Below are 22,448 nucleotides of genomic sequence, written 5' to 3' on the forward strand. Positions count from 1 at the left end.
CTGGTTCCCTCTGCTATCATGCAGAGTCAGGAAGCTCTACACACACAGGGAGCCAGCACTAAGCAAGGTGGCAGGACTGCTTTATCCCTTTCTGAAATGAATTTTTTTTTTTCTGATTATAGTCACTCCCTCTTTTCTTGATAAGACTTTTCTGGGAATAAACAAGACTGATACAATAATGGCCCAAACTAATACGTACAGGGCTTCTATGCCCCATGAAATTGACTGGCATTAGGCCGTGAAATCCGAGGTGATGATAAACACTTGAAAGGTGGAAAGTTCTTAAGTGTATGACTAAATGACTCACTGGCCCGTGAAACATGCAACTATTTTAGCAAAGGGCTAGTTTCTCTTCACATATACTTAAAAGCAGTTGCAGTGAGACTTCAGTGGAGGGTATTATAGTGCAAACTAAGAAAGATCAGCTCATGTTTAAAAGAAAACTGAGTAAAGGAAATCTGCATTTATGGAAACTGAAAGCTCTAACACTGACTCATTGAAGAAGTCTCCCGAAGATTTATAAGTGTAATCAACAAGGCTACTCTTTGTGACAAGCATTTGTCATCCCCGATATAAGAAAAAACAATTATTGGAAAACAAAACTGCCACAGGAATTGCCCCATTCCCAGTATTTGCCAGGCAAAACATTCAGCAGTATGGGGCAAAAATTACTATACTACCTGCGTCTGGAGCTGTTAAAACAAACAAACAAAAAATGTTATAAACATATAAAGAATAATAATTACGCATTCTTATGGTGTTCTTCTAGTTTGCTGGGTTGTTCTAGGCAATGTAGACTTTCAACCCACTTATTCTTCTTATGCTCATTCCCATTTTACAAATAAGGAGACTGAGGCACAGATAGGCACAGCCAGTAACTAGACTAAAATTCTGTGATTAGTATGCACCAAAGCCACATTTGGACCAGGCAATATGGCGCCAAAGCCTGTGGTTACAATCACTCTTCTAAACCTCTCTAAATCTTTGGAACAGTGATTGCATGTGGTAAATGCTTTCTTGGCATTTTTTTGTGAATTGGTGGAGATGAATTAGGCTTTATGGAAGTGTTTAAATTCATGGTTTGCAACTATTTTAAATAAGCAGGTTGGTAGTATCCTTAGGACTTGGGTCAGTTGAAACTTAATTTGTTCTGCTTCAAAGTCAAAAGAGTGCAAATTCAGAAAACTCTAGAATTTTCCCTCTGGACAGTAAGAAGGATGGCAACTCTGTGGCTTCCTAGAAGGTAACTTCCTAGAAAGGAAGTTTTACCATCTCTATTCTCTTTTCCATGGGAATACCCAATAACTTTCATCATCTTTTTCCTGAACTCATTAAAAAGTAGTCACGTAAGCTTTAAAATAGGTTTGTTTTCTTCCCTTTTTTCATGTTCTCTAGATTTTAAATATTATACAATGCTGAACAACTCAGGTCCTGCAGTATACATTTTGAAAAAATTATAAAATTAGCCAACAAAAAAATTCAATGATTCCTCCTTTACAGCAAAAGCTACCATAGGAGCTTATTTTCTACCAAGCTCATCAGTTCTGTGGTATCTGTCCCTCCTGCCATTGTTCAACTCTTTCCTTAGAACTCTGAGGGAGAGGTGAGCTTCCTCCCCGATCATTCCACACCCCAATCTATGACTCAGATGCTTGTCCTCTTGTTCCCAAGGGATTTTTTTAAAATCTTACCTTTTCCCTCTAAAACACAAAGCTCCTTCCTTCCTTCCTTCCCTCTTTCTTTCCTTCCTTCCTCCTCCCTCCCTCCCTCCCTAGCTTCCTTCGTTCCTAGCTTCCTTCCTTCCTAGCCTCCTTCTTTCTTAGCTTCCTTCCTTCCCTCCCTCCCTCCCTCCCTCCCTCCCTCCTTCCTTCCTTCCTTCCTTCCTTCCTTCCTCTTTCTCTTTTTTACTTGAAACAGGGTCTCACTCTGTCACCCAGGCTAGAGTGCAATGGCACTATCATGGCTCACTAAAGCCTTGAACGAACTCCTGGGCTCAAGCGATCCTCCTGCCTCAGCATCCCAAAGAGCTAGGATTACATGTGTGAGCCACTGTGCCCAGCTGCATCTTCAGTTTCTTTCCACTGCTCACTTCTGCTCTGTGGTTAAGGATGCAGAGTGTGTACTGATCTTAAAGAAATACTTACCTGATCCTGCTGCATCCCCAAGCCATCTGGACAAACTTCTCAAATAAACAGTCTACATTCATGGCCTTCATTTTCCCACTATTCCTCTTCATGTCTCTTGATCTATCCCTTACTACTTAGTCCACATTCATTTCTCTCTCCTCATCTTATTAAAATGTTTATTTTCTGTACCACATATTTTGCCAATTAATCAAGTAATTTTATATCTATTTAAGTACTTACTTTAACAGTCTTTTCTTAACCAAACTATTAATAAGCCATGAGGATAAACGTATTCTATCTTTTTTCAAACAGTTGCTAGCACTTACAAATTGTAGGTATACATGATTTAGTACTGAGTGGTTTATAAATATAATAATTTTATTCAGAATTACAGCAATATTAATAAATGTTCATTAAAAAAATTTTCTTGCCTGAGCTCCAAGATAATTTCTTTAATTCACCAAATATTTACTTAGCACTTACTGTGTTATTCAGTGTTCTAGGCACTAGAGACATCACAGTGAATAAAGCATGAAAAACTCCTGCCCTTATGAAGCTTATATTTTAACTGGGGGAGACATAGGAACAGATAATGAGTAAGCAATGCCATATGCTAGGTGGTAACAAGTGCCATGGAGCCTTCACAATGGAAAGCCAATGAACGATGTTAAGCAGAAAAGGACATGATTTGACTTATGTTTAAATGTGGTCGCCAGCCTGGGCATGGTGGCTTACACCTATAATCCCAGCACTTTGGGAGGCCAAGACAGGCAAATCACCTGAGGTCAGGAGTATGAGACCAGCCTGGCCAACATGGCAAAACCCTGTCTCTACTAAAAATACAAAAAAAAAAAAAAAAAATTAGCTGGGCGTGGTGGTGCACACCTATAGTGCCAGCTATCTGGGAGGCTGAGGCGGGAGAATCGCTTGAAACTGGGAGGCAGTGGTTGCAGTGAGCTGAGACTGCATCGCTGCACTCCAGCCTGAGCGACAGAGCAAGACTCCATCTCAAAATAAATAAATAAATAATAAATTAAAACAATTTTATCACTATATTATTAATGGTTTTCTATTGCTATGTAACAAATCACCACAAACTTAGTGACTTAACACAGCACACATGTATCAGCTTAGAGTTCTAAAAGTCAGCAGTCCAGCCCATTTTGCTGAGTTCTCTGTTCAAAGTATTGTGAGGTTAAAATCAAAGTTTTGGCTGGAATGAGTTGTCAGCTGGAGGCTCTGGGGAAAAATTACCTGCTCCCAGGCTCACACAGGTTGTTGGCAAAATTCAGTTCATTGAGGTTGTGAGAGTGAAGTTCTCATTTACTTGTTGACTATAAGCCAGGGCTGCTCTCACCTCCTAGAGATGACCCACATTCCTGGCCATATGGCCCCTCCATCTTCCAAGTCAGCAATGGCATGTTAAATCCTTCTCATGCCTGGGATTCCTGACTGCCTGTTCTGTGACTAGCCAGAGAAACTCTGCTTTTAAACAGTTCATGTGATTCAGTCAGGCCCAAGCAGGTAATCTCCCTTTCTTAAAGCCAACTGTGCATCATAACGAAACTTAACTACAGGAAGAAAATTCATCATATCCACAATCTCAGAGATTAGTACACAGGAGCGGAGGAGAGGGTTCTTGGGGGTCACCTTAGCATTCTGCCTACCACAATCACCTTGTCTGTTGTGTTGAGAATACACCATAGGGAAGTAAGAAAAAAAAAAAGAGAGATGTTGGCAATAATTTAGGGGAAGGGCAATTGTGTCTTTGACCAGGGTAGTAGGAGATGAGGTGGTGAGGTAGGGTCAAACTCTGAGAGAATATGAAGATACAGATGATAAAACTGCCGACACATTGGATGTGACTTGTGGATGAAAGAGAGGAGTTGAGGAGAACTTGCATGGATATTGGCCTCAGTAACTACAAAAATAGAATTGCCATTTGCTGAAATAAGATGTACTAAGGGAAGACAAAGAGTTTTGGAAGATGTCAGTATGAGATGCCAATATCACATCCAAATGGAGATGTCCAGTAAGCAGTTGTATACTGCACCTAGAGCTCAGGAAAAGGTCTGGTTTGCAGGTAAAATTGGAAAGTTGCCAAGTTGTAAATGGTATTTGAGGCCATGGGAGTGGATGAGGTCATCTAAGGTGAAAAAGGAAAAGGTCTTAGGATGGAGCCCCAGAGTAGTCCAAGGTGAGAAGTTGAAGACATCAGGAAGAATACCTAAGGAGGCTGGGAAAGACTGCACAGTGAGGTAGAAGGACAACCAGGAGAGAGTGAGAGCCCCGAGGGGAGGTGGAGAAGAAGGATGACTAATTGACAGGCACACGAGACACAGAGTGAGAAGCAACTCCCAATCTGCAACACAGAGATTAGGGACCTTGACAAGAATACAGCTGTTTTAGTGGTGTGGTGGGGATAACCCTTATTCCAGGAGGCTTAAGAGAAAAAAAGGGAGAGGGGTAACAGACAGTGATAATAGAAACTCTTTAAGAAGTTTTGTGGTAAAGAGAGCAGAGAAAGGGAGTGGTAGGTTGGCAGGGATGAGGGTGGAAAAAGACAGTTTCCTTCTTATTTTTTAAGAATATGAGACACTACTGTATGTTCATGATCAAATAGAGATGGAAAAAATGATGTTGCCACATGCAAGGGGACAGCTGGAGCCTAATCTTTCAGTAGGCAAAAGGGATGGGACCCAGGGCACAAACAAAGGGCCTGGTCTTGGGTAGGAGCCTGAGCATTCATTCCTCTAACTTGGGAGGGGAGCCGATACAGGTGAATGCACTGATGAGCCGGTGAGAATTGAAGTTCTCTTCTAATGGTTTCAGTTTTCTTATCAAAACAGGAAGCCAGGTCCTTAGCTATGAATGAGCATATGGAGGAGGTGTTGGAAGTTTGAGTGGAGAGGAGATACCTGGAATAGTTCACCAGAAAAGCAAGCGAGTGAGCAGACAGGGAAAATAGGGCCAGATTGCCAGGAAGGAATAAGGGTCCACTGGCTGCTGGGTTCTGGGTTCTCCTTTCAGTACAGCCAAACCCTTTTCATTTTAAGAAAATCATTACCATGCAGAGTAATTTTTTCGCTGGAAATTTTAAAACAAAGATTTGAGTCATCAATTAGATTTTTTTTGCCCATGTTAGATTAAATTATAGCTTCTGGACCTTGTGAGGTTATTTTGTTTGCTTTTGTTATTTACTATTTTATTTTTATGGCCATTAATTATTTTAAGTCCTACTTTCCTGGGTTAACTTTAGCAGATCTAAGTTTTACCATTTTTTAAAAATTTTGCCCATCTTATTTTATGTTGACTATTTCTACCACTTTCTGCTATTATGAACTGGATGAAATGTGACAGTTTATGTGGATTTTCTAGAGGTAAATTGTCAGTAATTCCCCTCAGATGTTTCTTACCTGCTCTATTATCTCAGATTTATATTTTAACATTGCAATTCAATTATTTTCTCCTCTTGATCACTTTGGATGCCAAAAGAAAGAAAGGGCTGAGGTCAAAATGTCCTTGAGATCAGAAAGGCAGCAACAAAGCACACTGATTTGCAATAAACCCAGTTAGGAAAGAAAGTGAGGAGAAGGAAAGGAGAGAATTACAGCTCCAGATTTTTGGAGATCAGAGCTGGCTTGATGTCTGTCCTCTTTTGTTGAAAAATTAAATCTTTCTAACGTAATGAAAAGAGAGCAATAACCAAATACACGATATGCCTACATAGGCCGTCTCCCCGATTTCTGTCTTTCAGAATTTTCAATTCAACTTAGGTATTTGCCCTTCTCCTTCCATGTGCTAGCAAAAGAAGATACTTTCCAACCTGAGAAAGGTGAGTCTTGAGTAGTCTGGTTCAATCACGGCAATTCATTCTCCTTGCCGGTGATTGGTTTGGATATGGACAAGTGACACAAATGTCGCCAGTAAGATCTGAAAGTTTGCATCTGGTCAGAGGACTTATGGAAATGGTTTTCCTCCCTGATACAGCAGAACATGAATGAGGAAGAGCATCCTCTTCTGCCCTGTGAATGAGCTGTATGAGCAAGTGCTGGGTTGAGCTGCAGAAGCCATGCTCAACCATGAGATGACATACTGGAGATCAAAAGACAAAACTCCAAGGATGGCAGAGCTGAAAGGTGGAAAGGCCCCATGTTCTTGATGTGTTCAGGCCATTACATTAACAAACCCAAGAACCACTTTACTTCTGCACTTCCAATTATAAAAGATGCTAATGACAATACAGTAATAAAACGCTATCATTCAAATAACTTTTGGCCAGGTATTGGGTTCCTTGAAGCCCAAAACATCCTGATACAATCCTCATACAGCATCAGGGGGCTGTAAGTCAGTGAGGATGGACACGGAGGTGCACTGCATGCCTCAGAGCCAGTTTGGGGGCTGAAGGATTGGAAGGATAATATTAAGACCCATTAATTATTAATGCTTTATGCTTGGTTGTTTATGTAGAAACTTCCTGGGGCAGCATTTATCATTTGGTCACTAGTGCTTCCATAGCACTTTGATCATTTACTAGAAGGGCACTTAGCTCTTTTGATTGTAGTTAATGTTTATGTGTCTTTTAATGCTGTCAATTATTTGAGGACAAAGGCCATATCTATTGTCTTTCTATCCCTAGGGACCCACAAAGTACCTGGCATATAGAAAATCCTCAATAAATATTTGCCAAGTTGGAGAATTACCTTCTGTCAACAAATCTGTGCTGGGTGAATATGAAGTAGGAGGTGTTCCTGAGCACATCCTTGAAAGGGGAAGGCTGATCCAATAGGAAAGGGGAGTTAAGCCAGAGGAACCTCTGCAGACAAGCTCTGATAAAAAGGAAACAGCCAGGAGGCAAGAGAAATTCTTTACTTAAGCTATCTAGCCAGCTGTCCAAGGAGCCATCCTTACCTTCTCTCCTTCCCTCACTCTTCACATGCCTGCACATTGTCTTACCTCCAAAATACATCCTGCGTTTCTTTTTTTTTTTTAAACTTATTTTCACCTCCAGTGCTACCATCCTTCTCCAAGCCACCATCATTGATCACCTGGACAAACCACACCAACCCCAAACTACTATCCACACAAGAGTCAGAGGCATATTTTTGAAATGTGAAAAGATCATGTCACATTCATGCTGAAATCCTCCAGGAGCTCAAAATCATACTTGGAATAAGAGAGAAACTCCTTTCTGTGTCTGCCGGTCCTCTCTATCCCACTTGATTTCTGTCATAGCATTTATTACCATCTGAAATTATTTCTGCACTTGCCTATAATTTGCCTGCTCTATGAACTGTAAAGGTCCAGTGGAACAGGGACATTATCTATACTGCTTAGGGCTAGATCTTAGCTCATTTTGTATTGCTATAAAGGAATATCTGAGGCTAGTAATTTATCTTTTTAAAAGATTATTTGGATCATGATTCTGGTGACTGGAAAGTTCAATATTGGGCATTTACATCTGATGATGGTCTCAGGCTGCTTCTACTTATAGCAGAAGGTGAAGGGGAGGCTGGCATGTGCAGAGATCACATGGTGAGAAAGAAAGCAAGAAAGAGGGAGGTGCTAGGCTCTTTTTAATAATCAGCTGTTACGGAAACGAATAGAGCAAGAACTCACTCACCCCTGTGGGAGGGCTCTGATCCCATTATGCAGATACCTTCCATTAGGCCTCACCTCCAACACTGGAGATCAAATTTCAACATGAGGTTTGGAGGGGACAAATACGCAATCATAGCAGGCCATATCCCCCATACCTTCAATAACACTTGACATGCAGTAAGCATTCAATATATGTTTTTGAATTGAAAAATATTGTATTTAGCCACTGTTGGACCTTGGCCCTGAAGAGGTTTTAAATCTCATACTGAAAGAGTTTTATGCCTGGAATCAAATAATGGAAGAATATAATAGAGAAATAAGAGTCATCCATGAAACTTATGGACATGAGTTTGAGCAGGGTGGGCTTTAGAACAACTGAGGAAAACAAGAAAAGAGGGTTCCAGCCTCACAGAAATGGTATTAGGCCACAGAGGCCACTAAGCTCAGTTTTGGGGTCCCCAGTTTTAAGAAGTCAGGGAAGGGGTGGATGATAAGACCTGCTTGATACTCACCTCTCCTACTCCCTCTACCTCAGTTATACATCCTGAGCCACCATGGCTCCTAGAGTGCCATGAATAAAATCTCTAGTGGCTTTGGCTCTGCCTTACATTACCTCCTCTTCTAGGACCCTGAACTCATAGGTCTACTTTCTTCCTCACTGAACCAAATAATTAAGAAATGTGCACATTAATGCCCCCAGTTAAAGAAAGCACATAGTTTATCTTTAAATTTGTAAAAGCTTCCTAGGAAGTTATAATTTTGAAGAACAATATAAAACAATACAATGCTTGGCAAATAATAAAACAGTTAGTTCTAATTTCATGGTTTCAGGTTACTCTCAAATTGAGAGACACACCCTCTTTTGGAGGTCATAATGGAGCTGTGAAGACTAAAGTTAAAAATATTTACAAGATATTGATTTACAGCAATGAAAGGATTAGCATCCAACCATAAAGTAATGATTAAACATTAACTCAGAAAAACTCTCACCAAGGCATTTCTATAAATTAGCCATTCATGGGAACCAGCAGGCTCAGGGAAGGTTGGTAGTCAAAAGATTTGGATTCCCAAGATCCAGTACTTACTTGCAAACCCCTAAACTTTCACGTGTAAAAAGTCAAGATATTAATATATCTCTCTAAAATGAACTTCTCTGTGAAGATCAAATGAAATAATGTAACTTACATCAGAAGCAAAGCAAGTGTAATTTAGTGCCAGTAGGTAAATCTGAATCTATTATTACTACTAATACTAAAAATCGAAACCATTCAAAAGCTTGAGATGTCAGTCATTGCCTATATACAGCTTTATATGAGAATGAAGGCAGCAGCAGTAGGCTCTTCCTCAGGATACTTAACACATAGAGATTAGAAGCCATGAAATTATAATATCGCTATGCAAATGAGAAGTTATAACAATTATGCTAATATGGCCAAGTTGATTTTATACTTGATTACAAGCTGACAGAATGATATGGAGTTGAACAGTACTGAGTATCAGCTGTAGAGTCACATTGCCTGAGTATGAATCCCAACTTTGTGGAACTTTGAGCAAGTTCCTTAACTTCTTTGATAGTCATTGGAGCCAGCCTCCATCATGGTTCCCAATGATCTCCACCTCCTGGTATTTACACACTTGTGTAGTGCCCTCCCACATTGTATCAGGGTTGGTCTGTGTGACCAATAGTACACAGCAGAAGGAATGGTATACCTGCCACTTCTGAGGCTAGGTCATAAAAGGCAACTCAGCTTCCTGCTTAGTTCCTCTCTTGGATCCTTCATTCTAAGGGAAAGTAGCTACCATATTATCCTAAGTATAATTTAGTGCAAGTAAGTAAATCTGGACCTATTATTACTACTAATACTACTAAACAGAACCATTCAAAAGCTTGAGATGTCAGTCATTGCCTGTATACAGCTTTATATAGGAATGAAGGCATCCACAGTAGGCTCTTCTTCAGAATGCTTACGACACAGAGATTAGAAGTCATGAAATTATAATATAATTCCCACATGGTGGGGAACTGGGGCCCACACACTAGGGAACTGAGGCCTCTAGCTAACAGGCACATGAGTGAGCTTGGAAGGGGATCCTTCAGCCCCAGTCAGGCTTTCAGATAACATCTTGATTGCAACCTCATGAGAGACCCTGAGGCAGAACCACCCAGCTAAGCCACTCCAAAATTCCTTATACACAGAAACTATGAGATAATAAATATTTATTGTTTTAAGTTCTGAGGTAATTCATTATGCAATTACAGATAACTAAAGTACCCTCTCAAAGTTTCTATAAATCTTCTGTAGGAATGGAGAGGGTAATAGTACCTCTCTTTCAAAGAGTTGTTCTAAGGATTAAATGAAAAATACATTGAAAGCCCTCAGCCCCAAATTTAGCACTTAGTAAATGCATATTGGCTATTATTGTAGCTTGCATGCCTTCTCTTCCTCAAGCAAGGCGCTCCTGCATGTTATTTACAGCCACATTCTCCATGGGCCTCAGTAATTTCTTAAGTCATAAAATTTGAAAGACACGATCCAGCTCCAGTCTTTTTATATTGTCTTTCTCTGACCATCAACTGAGTAGTCTTCATTTTCTCTCTCTTTGTGATCCCCTTTGAGAAGAGAGGCAGAGATTTCTAAGATAGAGAAACTTAAGGCATATGCTATGGCTAGGGAAGCAAAACCCAAAATAACTGGCCTGAAAAAGACTAACCTGCTGACCTCATGAGCATTCCACAAAGGTTGACAATAGTTAACTGAGCAAGCTGGAGTCAACTCCAGCTTTTACAGAGCATACTGTTTAGAAATTGTCCCCTGAAACATACAAAGCTTTCATTCAGGCGCATTTCTGTGCTTTAAACCTGGAACAGATCCTGGACTTCCTCAGGCAAACCTCATAGATGCTATCTTTTCTCTCTGATTATTCCTGTCTCCTTCACATTTGGGTTTTCTCTTATTACTGATGGATGGGTGAGCAGTCAAATTTCCTTTCCACCGAAAGAAGGTATAGAAGAAATTTACCACTAAAGCAGTGAAAGGAGCAAAAGAAGAGATATACTTCTTTTCCATAATAAAATTCAATAATAATAAAACTATTTGACAAATAACCAAATATTTCAAATTTCAGCATATAATATAGTGTAAAAGAAAAAATAAAGGAATCATAAATGCTGCATGTGAATTTTATTACCACTAAGCCATGAAGAGTTCTACAATTCCATACAAGTATTTTTACGTATTTCTCACTGATTCTTGGGGAAACTGAATGCTTACATATGCAATATCCTCCTATAGTAGGATGATTGAAAAAAAATTTAAAACATACAATCATTTATTATATACACAGAAGAGGGTGAACTTTTGATTGTGCTTGGTGAAATGAATAATATGACTTCAAGGAGTTTTTATTCTTAAATATATGACAATAGTATTAAGCCTCTCTCTCTCTCTCTCTGGCTCCCCATTCACTAGCCCCCGTCCTGTTCTGGGTGTGTCTAGTTTTGCTAAAGTAAGCATTTCACATGGAAATGCTTGACCTCTTAAATCAACCTCTCAGGGGATGAACTTGGGTTTGCTCATGGCTTCCTCCTTCCTTTTGGCTGTTTAATTCTTTAGTTTCCACGTAATTTAGGTCTTTGCTTTGTTTTTCTATCAAATTCCTTTCCTTCCTTCCTTCTTCCTTTCCTTTCCCTTCCCCTTCCCTTTACATTTCCTTTCTCCCTACTTCCTTCCTTTTTCCTTCACTCTATTTGTTTACTTGAAAGCTTGATTGACAACATGGAGGGCATTTCTTGGGTGATGACTTTGACTTTTTTGTAAGGAATGCTGACCTTTATTATGGCACAGCCCAGGAAAGGTATTGCTGATTTAGTGAAAATGCTGCATTCCTGAGCTTTTATCTTTATTCCTATGATAAGGCAGAAGTGTTAACAAGATGACTTCCCTTTTTTCCTTAAACATACATACATACAAGTTAAGAAATACAGACAAGAAATTACTAGAGTGGTAAATAAATAAAGCCACCATGAAACAACATCTCCACCTGGTTGTCCAAGAGGTATCCTTAGCCACCCTCTCCTTTACCTCTCTCTGTTTAACCGGTTACCGAAGTCCAGTCATTCACATTTCTGAGTAGCTCTGGAGCCTCCAAATTCTGACCTGTACTGTAAGTGTCCTGGGCCATTTCCCTCACTTCCCCCTCCAGTGTTGCTCCATTGCAACTCACCTTCCCACTGTCATGGCCAACAGTTCAGGCATGCTCAAAACATCATTCACTGCATCATCTCCAGCTTAGAATCAAACTCTTTTGCCTGTTTCCCACCCTCCTCTGGGGCCCTGGATCCTTTTATAATCCCTAACACAGGATGTGATCTCATGTCTCTGTGTTGAAACACAGGGCATTTGCATTTTCTGGAATATCTTATCTCCAGAAACTGATGTTAACTATTCAAGCTTGGCCCACAAAAGAAACCTCTTATAAGAAGTCTCTCCGCCGGGTGCAGTGGCTTACACCTTTCATTCCAGCACTTTGGGAGGCCAAAGTGGGCAGATCATGAGGTCAGGAGATAAAGACCATCCTGGCCAACATGGTAAAACCCCATCTATACTAAAATACAAAAAATTATCCGGGCGTGGTGGTGTGTGCCTGTAGTCCCAGCTACTCGGGAGGCTGAGGCAAGGGAATCACTTGAACCCGGGAGGGGGAGACTTTCCCAGAAGTGTTCCTTCTAACCTCCAGAGCAGTCTGCTCAAGCACCTCTAAGTTATTTTTTTGAATCATAAGAGTAGTTATATGGAAACAAGTTGAGTCTCTCAGGAAGTCCTCCTCAAGAGAACATTCTTGAAATGTGTTCAAATTTCATTTGGAGAAGATACCAGGTGCTATTTAGCAGAAATGGCAAAACAGCTCTTCCTGGCCTGTATACCCTACCCAGCAAAACAAAATTCTCAGAGTTAACTGCAGCAAGCCTCAGATCCCTAGGCCTTTTCACTGGCCATCTCAAGTGGCTTATCAAAGTACAGTATTCCTTCCAACTTGCTTTAACGGAAGTTCTGATAATTACAGTTTTACTCAAACTTCCAGCGATGCTGTGATGCCTCAGTGATGTTTTGGAGAGAAACATACAGATTATTTCTATTTATATATGTGTGTATCCACACACACACATACACACATATATATGTAAAACAAGTCATATTTGTTTGCATGTTCCCACTAGCTTATACAGTCCTTGAGGTCAGGGCCTTTATATTTATATTTACAAAATTTAATCTTTGTATTTGCAGCAACTAACGCGGTGCCTGGAACATAATGTAAGCCTGTAAGCCCTATATTTATCAATTGTATGACTAGCACATTCTTCTCCCACAAGGCTTTGCATGTATGGTTTACACAAAGAGTTGCTTTATGAAAATAGTTATATTTTAACAGTCCACAAGAGTCAAGCTTAAGTGGACTGTCATTTAATGGTATAAAATAGTAGCAACCACTGGTTTCTTCAAATTTCATTAGCAGTAGGTCAACCCATTCAGTTATTTAACCTTTGGCACATTTGCCCTGGCCTTGAATTGCACAGCAAGCATGGTTTTCATAGCTCTACAATCTAATTCTGAACTGTCATCCTAAAATCTAGATAAGACTCCTTGAGTATGCAAGCACTGACTATACATTCCTCAGTTGACTAAATCTTCCAGAGAGAATGCTTTAACTGGCTGACTAATTTATAGTGTGTAATGCTGAAATGAAAGCAAGTGTTTAAAAGGAAAGTAAGGCCAGGGGAGACTGAAACTAGTAGTTCTCACTTGCTTGCATCCTACAGTGAGTATTCCATTATGTGAGTGTTTTATACATTTAGGCAAGCTAAAAAGACATGAAAGTCCTTAAATAAAAGAATCCACCAAAACATCACTGATTCCAGACCCTTCTTAAATATTATCGTGTATACCAGCTTTATTATTTAGCTCTGCAATACTGCTAAATTGGTCAATTACTTCCCTGCCTCCCCACCCTCCAACTGAATTCTCACCACCCTTGAGGGAAAACAGTCTGGGTTCCCTGTGGAACATCATTTCTCAAAACTGTATTTTGGGGCTTGCTTTCTCATTTTTCCTTTCCATTTCAGATATCCTTACTGCTGTCTTTGGGCTCTTTAAACACTGCCTTTTTTCCTTTTTCGATCACACCCAAAAACTTTTCTCAAAAATTACATGTAAATTTAAAAATTTACAAATTAAATTTAAAATTGAAATTTTAAAAATCCCGACTCTCCCTAATTTCAGGAAGCATGCATTTATTATACATAACAAGACGTGAAAGCCGCAAGAGTTTCAGCCTAAACACTGAAGACCCCGCGAAGTGAATCCAGCTGCTGCTCTACAAGCAGCAACAACAACTGGGAAGCCTTCTCAGCTACACTTCGGGGCACTGGTCCAACCCCACGCAAAATCCCTCGTTTCCCTTAGCGTGGTAAGACGGAGCCTGACCTGAGCTCCAACTGTCCTATCTTTTTCAAATGTTTCAAACTTACTGCCTTTGTTCAGCAGAACCACGGGCACGGTGATGATGGTGACAAGCGCAGCAGCACCCAGCAGTCCCAGAAGAACCTTCCACGGTGTCTGCAAGCCGAGCAGATCAAGTCCAATTAGAGGGAAGCGTGTGGCCCCAGTTTCCGTAGGAGGGTCGGGGCTGCTCCAGAGGCAGCAGGATTTGCAGGTGGGAGTGCGTTAGAAGAGGGAGACCGCGGGCTGGGGGTGGGGGTGGCGTCTGGAGTGCGCCAGTTGGAGTTCTCTAAGGCGGGTGCCCTTGAACTTGTGCCTTCAGAGCACATTAGCGTTGGTTTCTCTACCCCTGCCCGGGTTCGGGCGTGCGTTCTGTGAGTGGCTCTCCGGGACATTCAAAGCTCGACGCCAGGGTCCTAGCAGAAGCCAGGGTCCGAAAGCTAAGCGAGAGCTCTGGGACGTCCCTTCACCTGTCAGAGGGTGGCCTTGGGGCTTCCGCCTAAGGGGAGTCCCTGGTCCGGTTTCGCCAGCTTTTGGGCCATTTGGGGAGTTTGGCGAAGAGGTCCCCACAGCTCGCCCCGGGGACGTACGTGGCGCGGCACTCACCTTCATCGTCGGCGTCTCCTCGGAAGTGAGCGTTCAGAGAAGGAGCGCAGGCAGAAGTCACCGCGGGCGGCGGAGACGCGCGTCCTGCACCGCTGCTCCGGGCGGTGGAGTCACTCGCCGCTGGCAAGTTTCGGCCCCGAGTTAAACATTAGTGAGCGCCGAGCCCGCTGGGTATAAAGGCGCCGCGGGCAGGCTGCAGGGCAGGCGGCGCGGGAGCAGGCGCGCGTGGCGCGGGGCACTGGCATCCCGGCCGGGGGGAGCCCGCGAGGGCCCCCTGAGGGCGGTGTAGGGCGCTGGGCGGCAGCCGGGGCGCAGAGTGCGGGGCCCGGAGGAGCCGTGGGGGAGGGGAAAGGGCGCGCGGCCTCGGATGCGCAGACCCTGGGCCGGCGACTCGGGGACCCTGCTCCCTCTTAGCTAAAAATGACGTCGGCGTTCAGCTCCTCCAACCTCACGTGGACAGGCGAGGGAACCGAGACCCAGAGAGGGCAGGGGACTTTGGCAAACTCACACAGCCCACCGCAGGCAACTGGAACTGAAACCCAGGACTCCGTCTCTTGCCAGTGAAAGTTATGTTAGGAAGCAGTGAGGGGTCTAAAGCAGTATGAAAGGCAAAGAGAAAAGGTGATTGTTCCCTCTTGAATGGCCCTTGGAAGCTGAGTATCTGGATTCACCCTCCCTAGGGAATTTCCCGATTGTCTTGCAGGCTTACACACTCATCAAGATGACAAAAATAATGACAGTAACACTTATGTGGAACTTGACTTTTTCCCAGGTGCTGCTCTAAGCATTTACTGTGTTTGTTTTACAGGAAGGAAGACTGTACACAGAGAATAAATAACTTGGCCAAGCCATTCAGCTAGGAAGTTGTAGATCCTAAATTAAGAGTTCAAGGTCTTAATGGCTACTCTATGCGGCCTCTCATAGTCTTTTCAAGGGTTTTGGAGAAGAATAAAAGATCAGGTATGGCTTCTCCCTCCCCCAGCTCTCTATTGTTCCCTAAAGGATTATTCATTCGTTCATTCATTCCTACATCCTCCCATTTATTCCAGTCATCCACAGATGTTTGAGTGGTTACAATGTGCCAGCCTCCCTTCTAGGTACTGGAGATAAAGTGGGACAAGAGAGGTGAGGTCTGGACCCTTGGCACTTTCACGATAAAATACACAGGTAAACATTTGCCTTTAGGGCCCCCTGTGATTACTTCCACTCTTGCAGATAAGAGGATAAGGCCTCTTCAGCTTGTTCACAGCAGCTGAAAAGCAAAGCCTCTCTGTCAGTAGAGGTAAAAGATTAAGAATGCAGAGTCCGATGGGGCATTACCACATGATTATGAATTAATGCAATTTTCCATCTTTTATTTCCAATCCAGGCATTGCTTTTGAACTCAGTCATCTTTTCCCCCTTGCCCACTAGTTGCTTGTGATACATCAGTATCCTCACTCACCCCCAACTCCAGAGGCTGAAACTAACTCTCCTCCTCCCTCTTCCAACTGCTGAGGAAGATGAGTCAATGGTGTTACTGGACCCTGTGAACTGATGCTGTGAAGAGAGGCCATTTAACACGGACTACGGGGAATGGTGCCACAGGGGGCTCAGTGCTGCCCTTCACTCTCAGCATTTTGCTCACTCAGCATTGGTAAGCCACATCAGCCTCGGTGAAGGAAGTCTGGAGAGTTAAGCCTGTGCTTCATCTCCATGCCAGCACCATGGCACTCATTGTACATTCAGCAAGCCCCAAGGAAGCTGGCAGGAGGCTGGCTGACATCTACGGGACAGGTCAATTTGTTCTCTGGAGGGCACTCCATGAGACGCAAATATCTTCACACCCTGTGCCCATTTCAAGAGACTCTCTCACATGCCTCCCCCACCTTGACCTCTGTGTCACCAGTCTTTCAATCTTGTTTTTTCCAAATCCTTAAGGTAGCAGCTGGCCAACACATTAGCCACCACTGATGAGTCAGTGTAGATCTTACATTGGGCCATCTCTTTTTTCTTGCAAAATAGAAAAGCAGATGTTCTGCTCAAAGTTCTGTTTGTCAGTAAGATTTCCCTTTCTGCTGTGTTTCAGGACATCCCTGGGAGGGACTCTGATGCAGCAGCCATCTACTTATTGCTAGTGCCAGCTTACTTTGCATAACATTGACTCCTTTCCCTCATCTGTTGCCTAGTTGTAGGAAACTCCTTGTGAAGCTATAGGTGTGCACTGAGGGAGAGACATTGAGTCAATGGGAGCAGGCATCATAGAGTCTAAGTTTTCTGCTAGTCTGAGTTTCTTGTGCCTTGTGGACCTGGTGGGCTTATCTCCTTTATCATATAGATACAATTTTCGCTTAATAATAGCATGCTCCTGCAAATGCCCAATTTTATCATGTGGTAGATTAGGCAACACTCAGTTTATTAGGGTAGCTAGGTTGTGCAGTTACTTGATGTTATGGATTGAATTGTGTCCCTCCAAAAGATATATTAGAATCCCAACCTTTAGGACTTCAGAGTGTGACATTATTTGAATATAGGGTCTTTACAGAGTTAATCAATTTTTTTGAATCTTATATAGCTTTTATTTCAGTGATCAAAAGAATGCAGTAAATGGAATCTACACTAATTAACATTAGGCATGCACCTCTACCTGAAACTGCTGTTAGCTTATGATTGGCCTAAATCTTTATAACTTATTTAGGCACATCATTGAATTTTTTGTACCCTGATATACAGGGTAAGTTAATTTCTTCCTTGTGGCAGTCTAGTAATAAGAATTATGTTCACTGGCTAGATTCCTTTAAAACTAAAGACCTCTAGACTCTCAGGCTGCCTACCTTACCTTGAGACTATACTTAATATGGATATTTAAGCAAATCATCATATAGGAAAGGGAGATCATCAAGAAAACTGAAGTGTACTGTATAAACACTCTTACAGATATTTTTCTCCAGCATTGATAATCAAACACTAGATAAGGATACTAAATTATTCTTCCCCCACTTCTGCCCTTTCTGAAAAACACAAGGATCTCCCTTGAAATCGAAATGACTCCACACAAATGAGAGATTTTTATGTATGTGGTCCCACTATCAAAATAATAGGAAGCAGTTAATGGGGCTTTGAGAAAAGCATAGTCCCGTGTACAGTAATATGCATCTAAATAGAGTTTTCCATTCACCTGTCAATTATTTTCACAAGATTAGCATTAAAAAATACAAGCAAACATATGACCCTTAAGCTTCACACACAAAAAATTGGTCTTTGTTCATTCTCAGATGACAGGATGTCCCAAAAGTAACAAAAGATGGGAGCCAGTCCTCTCATAGCTGTTTCTTCAATCATCCCATCAACAGCTCTTCATTTATTGAACTACCTTCCTTTTCCAAAGAGGTAATGCTGAGATCAGTCAGAAAGGCTTTCTGAGAAAACTGGCTTGGATTTCTGGGTCTGTTGCAGTCAATTCAAGATGAACTGGCTTGTATCAATGAAGCGCTCAATGCAGTTCACAAAACAGGCCTCAGCCCGACTGTCCAACTTTGGCCCAGGCTTGTCCATGCACTTCTCCCAACAAAGTTCAGTCATCTGGTGCACCAGCTGCTGGAAGCGCTGCTTTTGAGTCTCTACCTCAATGAAAATGCTGCAACTGCGGGTCCACTGCACCCAAACCCGCCGCAGAGGAAGAGCAGGAGGAATCCATCCCAGGACAACCATGCTTGCAGAGACGAACTCCGCACCAACCTTCACGTGTCTCCACGACCTAGTTAATCAATTTAAAATGAGGTCACTAGGGTGGGCCCCAATCCAATATGACTGATAACTTTATAAAAAGGAGAGATTTGGATACAGAAAGAGACAGAGTGAAAACCATGTGAAGAAACATAGGAAAAGATGGCAGCTACAAGCCAAGGAGAAGCTTGCAGTGTGTATTCATCTGTTCTCATGCTGTTAATAAAGACATACCTGAGACTGGGTAATTTATAAAGGAAAGAAACTTAATTGACTCACACTTCCACATGCTGGGGATGCCTCACAATCACGCCTGAAGGCGAATGAGGAGTAAAGTCATGTCTTACATGGTGGCAGGCAAGAGAGCTTGTGTAGGGGAACTCCCCTTTATAAAATCATCAGATCTTGTGAGACTTATTCACTATCACAAGTACAGCACAGGAAAGACCTACCCCCATGATTCAATTACCTCCCACTAGGTCCCTCCCACAATACATGGGAATCATGGGAGCTATAATTCAAGATGAGATTTGGGTGGGGACACAGCCAAACCATATCATTCCATCCCTGGTCCCTCCCAAATCTCATGTCCTCACACTTCAAAACCAATCATGCCATGCTAACAGTCCCCCAAGTCTTAACTCATTTCAGCATTGACTCAAAAGTCCACAGTCCAAAGTTTCATCTGAGACAAAGCAAGTCCCTTCTGCCTACGACTCTGTAAAATCACTAGCAAGTTAGTTACTTCCTAGATATAATGGGGTTATAGGTGTTGGGTAAATACAACCATTCCAAATGGGAGAAATTGGCCAAAATGAAGGGGCTACAGGTGCCATGCAAATCTGAAATCCAGCAGGTCAGTCAAATCTTAAAGCTCCAAAATTATCTCCTTTGACTCCATGTCTCACATCCAAGTCATGCTAATGCAAGAGGTGGGTTGCCATGGTCTTGGGCAGCTCTGCCCCTGTAGTTTTGCAGGGTTCAGGCCCCCTCCTGGCTGCTTTCACAGGCTGGCGTTGAGTATATGTGGCTTTTCCAGTTACACGGAACAAGCTGTCCCTGGATCTACCATTCTGGGGGCTGGAGGATGGTGGCCCTCTTCTCACAGCTCCACTAGGCAGTGCCCCAGTGGAGACTCTGTGTGGGGGCTCATATCCCACATTTCCCTTCTGCACTGCCCTAGTAGAGGTTCTCCATGATGGTTCTGCTCCTATAGTACACCTCTGCTTGGGCATCTGGGAGTTTCCATTCATCCTCTGAAATCTAGGCATAGGTTCCCAAACCTCAATTCTTGATTTCTGTGCACCCACATGCCCAACACCACATGTAAGCTGCCAAGGCATGGGGCTTGCTTCTCTGAAGCAATGGCTTGAGCTCTACATTGGCCCCTTTTAGCCACAGCTGGGACACAGGGCACCAAGTCCTGAGACTGCACAAAGAAGCAAGGCCCTTGGCCTAGCCCATGAAACCATTTTTGCCTCCTAGGCCTCCTGGCTTGTGATGGAAGGGGCTGCGTGAAGTCCTCTGACTTGCCGTGGAGACATTTTCCCCATTGTTTGGTGATTAACATTTGGCTCCTCATTTCTGCAGCCAGCTTGAATTTTTCAGAAAATGGGGTTTTCATTTTAATTGCATCATCAGGCTGCAGATTTTCCAAACTTTTATGCTCTGCTTCCCTTTTAAACATAAGTTCCAATTCCAAACCATATATTTGTGAATGCATAAAACTGAATGCTTTTAACAGTACCCAAGTCACCTCTTGAATGCTTTGCTGCTTAGAAATTTTTGCCAGATACCCTAAAGAATCTCTCTCAAGTTCAAAGTTCCACAAATCTCTAGGGCAGGGGCAAACTGCCACCAGTCTCTTTGCTAAAACATGGCAAGAGTCACCACTGCTCCAGTTCTTAACAAGTTCCTCATCTGCATGAGACCACCTCAGCCTGGACTTTATTGTCCATATCACTTTGCCTGTTACCAGGTTCCAAAGTCTCTTCCACATTTTTGGGTATCTTTACAGTAGCACCCCACTCCTGGTACCAGGTTACTGTATTAGTCTGTTCTCACGTTGCTAATAAAGACATACCCAAGACTGGATAATTTATAAAGGAAAGAGGCTTAATTGACTCACAGTTCCACATGTCTGGGGAGGCCTCACAATCGTGGCTGAAGACAAATGAGGAGCAAAGTCACATTTTCCATGGTGGCAGGCAAGAGAGCTTGTGTAGGAGAACTCCCCTTTATAAAACCATCAGATCTCATGAGACTTATTCACCATCATGAGAACAGCATGGGAAAGACCTGTACCCCATGATTCAATTACCTCCTACTGGGTCACTCTCACACCATATGGGAATTATGGGAGCTATAATTCAAGATGAGATTTGGGTGAGGACACAGCCAAACCATATTACAGTGGATCTTTCTTTGTCTCATAGTCCTCAGGAGGAACCAATCCTGTGATGTATTGATTTTGGACTTATAGCTCCTAGAACTGAGAGATAATAAATTTCTGTTGTTTCAGCCACCCAGTTTGTGGTACTTTGTTATAGCAGCCCTAGTGAATGAATGAATATACTTGATCCATGATCATGCTTTCAGTCTCTACAGGATCCCAGTAGCAAGAGAGATGCCACTTTTTAAGTAGTGAATTGTCACTGGTTATTGTAGGCAGCCTCCAAGATGGCCCCTAAAGTTTTGGAAGTAATTTATTATGCAACAGTAGATAACTAATAAATTGGCAAAGAGTATATGACTTTTCTCTAAGAGTCATATATCTTCTGTGATTCTCTCACTGGGTTTTGCCAGAGGCTTCATACAGTGTCTCCGGCTGCCACATACATTTTAAATAAGTATTGTGCTTGTTAGGTCATAAGATCCAAGTACAACTTGCACTATAGCCTAAACATGCAGAGCCTTCTTTTGCTTCAGGATCCATTCAAAACAGGCAGCCTTTAAAGTTACTGAGTAAATGATTGGAGAAGTATAGCCAAGCATAGTATATGGTGTCTCAAAAATCCAAAGAGTTCTGGCAAATAGTGCTCCTCTTCATGGTGGATGTACAAGGTGTAGTGACTTGTCTTTCACATTAGAAAGGATACCTTGACATGTTCCAGACCACTGAATCCCTTGAAACTCTGCAAATTTTCCACGGATTTTATTCTCTACCCTGTGTCCACATTTGTCTTACTAAAGCATGTAAGGAACTTGCTACTTCTTGTTCATCAAGTCCATGTAGCATAGTTATCAATGCAGTGGACTAATGTGGGTCTGTGGGATGGCAAGATGCTCAAGGTCTTGGGAGATTTTAATATGACAGAAAGCAAGACTTGACATATCCCTGGAGTAAGATAGTGAAAATACACTGCTGTTCCTTCCAGGTGAAGGCAAAGTATTTTAGATACTTCTTACTAATTTGACTCAAGGAAAAAAGTGTTTGCAGGTGAACAGCTCAGATGTCCATGTTGTTTGATTCAGTAAAGTTAAACATCTGAAATGGCAACTGAGTTATTTTCCATAATCCATCCTAGTTTTGCACAAGCTAAATGGGAAAGTTAATTAAGTATGGGATGGGGGAAATAGCACCTCTGCATCTTTCAGATTTTTACGTAGTGGCACTAATTTCTGCACTTAGAGATGCAGTATTACTTTTAGTTTTCCATATTGTTGTGCAGGGACAGTACCAGGGTCTTCCACTTGGTCTTTCCTATCTACCTTAATGTCCCTTCCTGGGTCAGGGGATAAATGAGCAAAGAAATGTAGGCAGGCTCTAAGAGCTGGGAAAAGCAAAGAAATAGATTCTCCCCTAGAGCCTCCAGAAGGAACAGAGCCTTGATGATGCCTTGATTTTATCCCAGGAAGACCTATTTCAGACTCTGACTTCTAGAGCTGTAAGTTAATAGATTTATGTTGTTTT

The 22,448-nt window shown here is 42.3% G+C and overlaps 1 protein-coding gene, 1 long non-coding RNA gene and 1 pseudogene across 9 annotated transcripts in view, besides 11 other annotated features; 1 reads left to right on the forward strand and 2 right to left on the reverse strand.

Moving 5' to 3' along the window:
- The window catches only part of DPP4 (dipeptidyl peptidase 4), an 81,971-nt gene extending 66,901 nt beyond the window's left edge, over positions 1-15,070 (reverse strand). For 6 of the 8 annotated variants that reach the window (NR_166822.1, NR_166825.1, NR_166824.1 and 3 more), the window contains exons 1-2: positions 14,831-15,070; positions 14,254-14,341 (exon numbers count right to left, since the gene is read on the reverse strand). Coding sequence is in view for 4 of the 8 variants with exons in the window: in NM_001379604.1 (NP_001366533.1) it covers positions 14,254-14,341; positions 14,831-14,836 (94 nt within the window). In the remaining 4 variants the exon portion in view is untranslated. Of the gene's footprint in view, positions 1-14,253; positions 14,342-14,694 lie in introns of all 8 variants that reach the window. The other 2 variants (NR_166823.1, NM_001379605.1) reach the window with 2 other exon arrangements.
- Positions 4,943-5,012: an enhancer, noted in NCBI's record as "active region_16715". NCBI's record gives its function as "activates an Ori minimal core promoter by ATAC-STARR-seq in GM12878 lymphoblastoid cells {active_cell/tissue: GM12878}" and the evidence as "EXISTENCE:reporter gene assay evidence [ECO:0000049][PMID:35858748]".
- Positions 6,674-6,968: a silencer, noted in NCBI's record as "tiled region #3711; HepG2 Repressive DNase matched - State 14:Gen5'". NCBI's record gives its function as "represses a minimal TATA promoter and a strong SV40 promoter by Sharpr-MPRA in HepG2 cells {active_cell/tissue: HepG2}" and the evidence as "EXISTENCE:reporter gene assay evidence [ECO:0000049][PMID:27701403]".
- Positions 14,589-14,788: an enhancer, noted in NCBI's record as "active region_16716". NCBI's record gives its function as "activates an Ori minimal core promoter by ATAC-STARR-seq in GM12878 lymphoblastoid cells {active_cell/tissue: GM12878}" and the evidence as "EXISTENCE:reporter gene assay evidence [ECO:0000049][PMID:35858748]".
- Positions 14,939-15,198: a silencer, noted in NCBI's record as "silent region_12061". NCBI's record gives its function as "represses an Ori minimal core promoter by ATAC-STARR-seq in GM12878 lymphoblastoid cells {active_cell/tissue: GM12878}" and the evidence as "EXISTENCE:reporter gene assay evidence [ECO:0000049][PMID:35858748]".
- Positions 15,223-15,920: an enhancer, noted in NCBI's record as "NANOG hESC enhancer chr2:162930878-162931575 (GRCh37/hg19 assembly coordinates)". NCBI's record gives its function as "activates a minimal SCP1, AML or CMV promoter by ChIP-STARR-seq in naive H9 embryonic stem cells {active_cell/tissue: H9 hESC(naive)}" and the evidence as "EXISTENCE:reporter gene assay evidence [ECO:0000049][PMID:30033119]".
- Positions 15,223-17,251: a biological region, named in NCBI's record as "DPP4 promoter region". NCBI's record gives its function as "regulatory_interactions: DPP4".
- Positions 15,475-17,251: a promoter, noted in NCBI's record as "DPP4 promoter fragment used in the reporter gene construct". NCBI's record gives its function as "drives testosterone- and dihydrotestosterone-stimulated DPP4 expression in transfected COV434 granulosa cells {active_cell/tissue: COV434(+T or +DHT)}" and the evidence as "EXISTENCE:reporter gene assay evidence [ECO:0000049][PMID:28799235]".
- On the forward strand, positions 15,712-18,787 carry DPP4-DT (DPP4 divergent transcript). Its single transcript, NR_147697.1, has 3 exons — positions 15,712-15,790; positions 16,333-16,466; positions 18,085-18,787. It is a non-coding gene; the product is annotated as a DPP4 divergent transcript (long non-coding RNA).
- Positions 16,581-16,663: a protein binding site, noted in NCBI's record as "GRE -1782/-1767 amplified fragment used to assay dexamethasone-induced glucocorticoid receptor (GR, also known as NR3C1) binding in macrophage-like THP-1 cells". NCBI's record gives its function as "binds GR and is necessary for glucocorticoid-induced DPP4 expression in dexamethasone-treated macrophage-like THP-1 cells {active_cell/tissue: THP-1(+Dex)}" and the evidence as "EXISTENCE:chromatin immunoprecipitation-qPCR evidence [ECO:0000228][PMID:31988243]".
- Positions 16,605-16,619: a nucleotide motif, noted in NCBI's record as "nucleotide_motif; -1782/-1767 glucocorticoid response element (GRE)". NCBI's record gives the evidence for it as "EXISTENCE:motif similarity evidence [ECO:0000028][PMID:31988243]".
- Positions 17,370-18,566, reverse strand: TIMM8AP1 (translocase of inner mitochondrial membrane 8A pseudogene 1; annotated as a pseudogene).
- Positions 19,542-19,653: a protein binding site, noted in NCBI's record as "GRE -4200/-4185 amplified fragment used to assay dexamethasone-induced glucocorticoid receptor (GR, also known as NR3C1) binding in macrophage-like THP-1 cells". NCBI's record gives its function as "binds GR in macrophage-like THP-1 cells {active_cell/tissue: THP-1(+Dex)}" and the evidence as "EXISTENCE:chromatin immunoprecipitation-qPCR evidence [ECO:0000228][PMID:31988243]".
- Positions 19,581-19,595: a nucleotide motif, noted in NCBI's record as "nucleotide_motif; -4200/-4185 glucocorticoid response element (GRE)". NCBI's record gives the evidence for it as "EXISTENCE:motif similarity evidence [ECO:0000028][PMID:31988243]".

This window comes from Homo sapiens, chromosome 2, assembly GCF_000001405.40.
Source record: "Homo sapiens chromosome 2, GRCh38.p14 Primary Assembly".
NCBI classification, from domain to species: domain Eukaryota; kingdom Metazoa; phylum Chordata; class Mammalia; order Primates; family Hominidae; genus Homo; species Homo sapiens.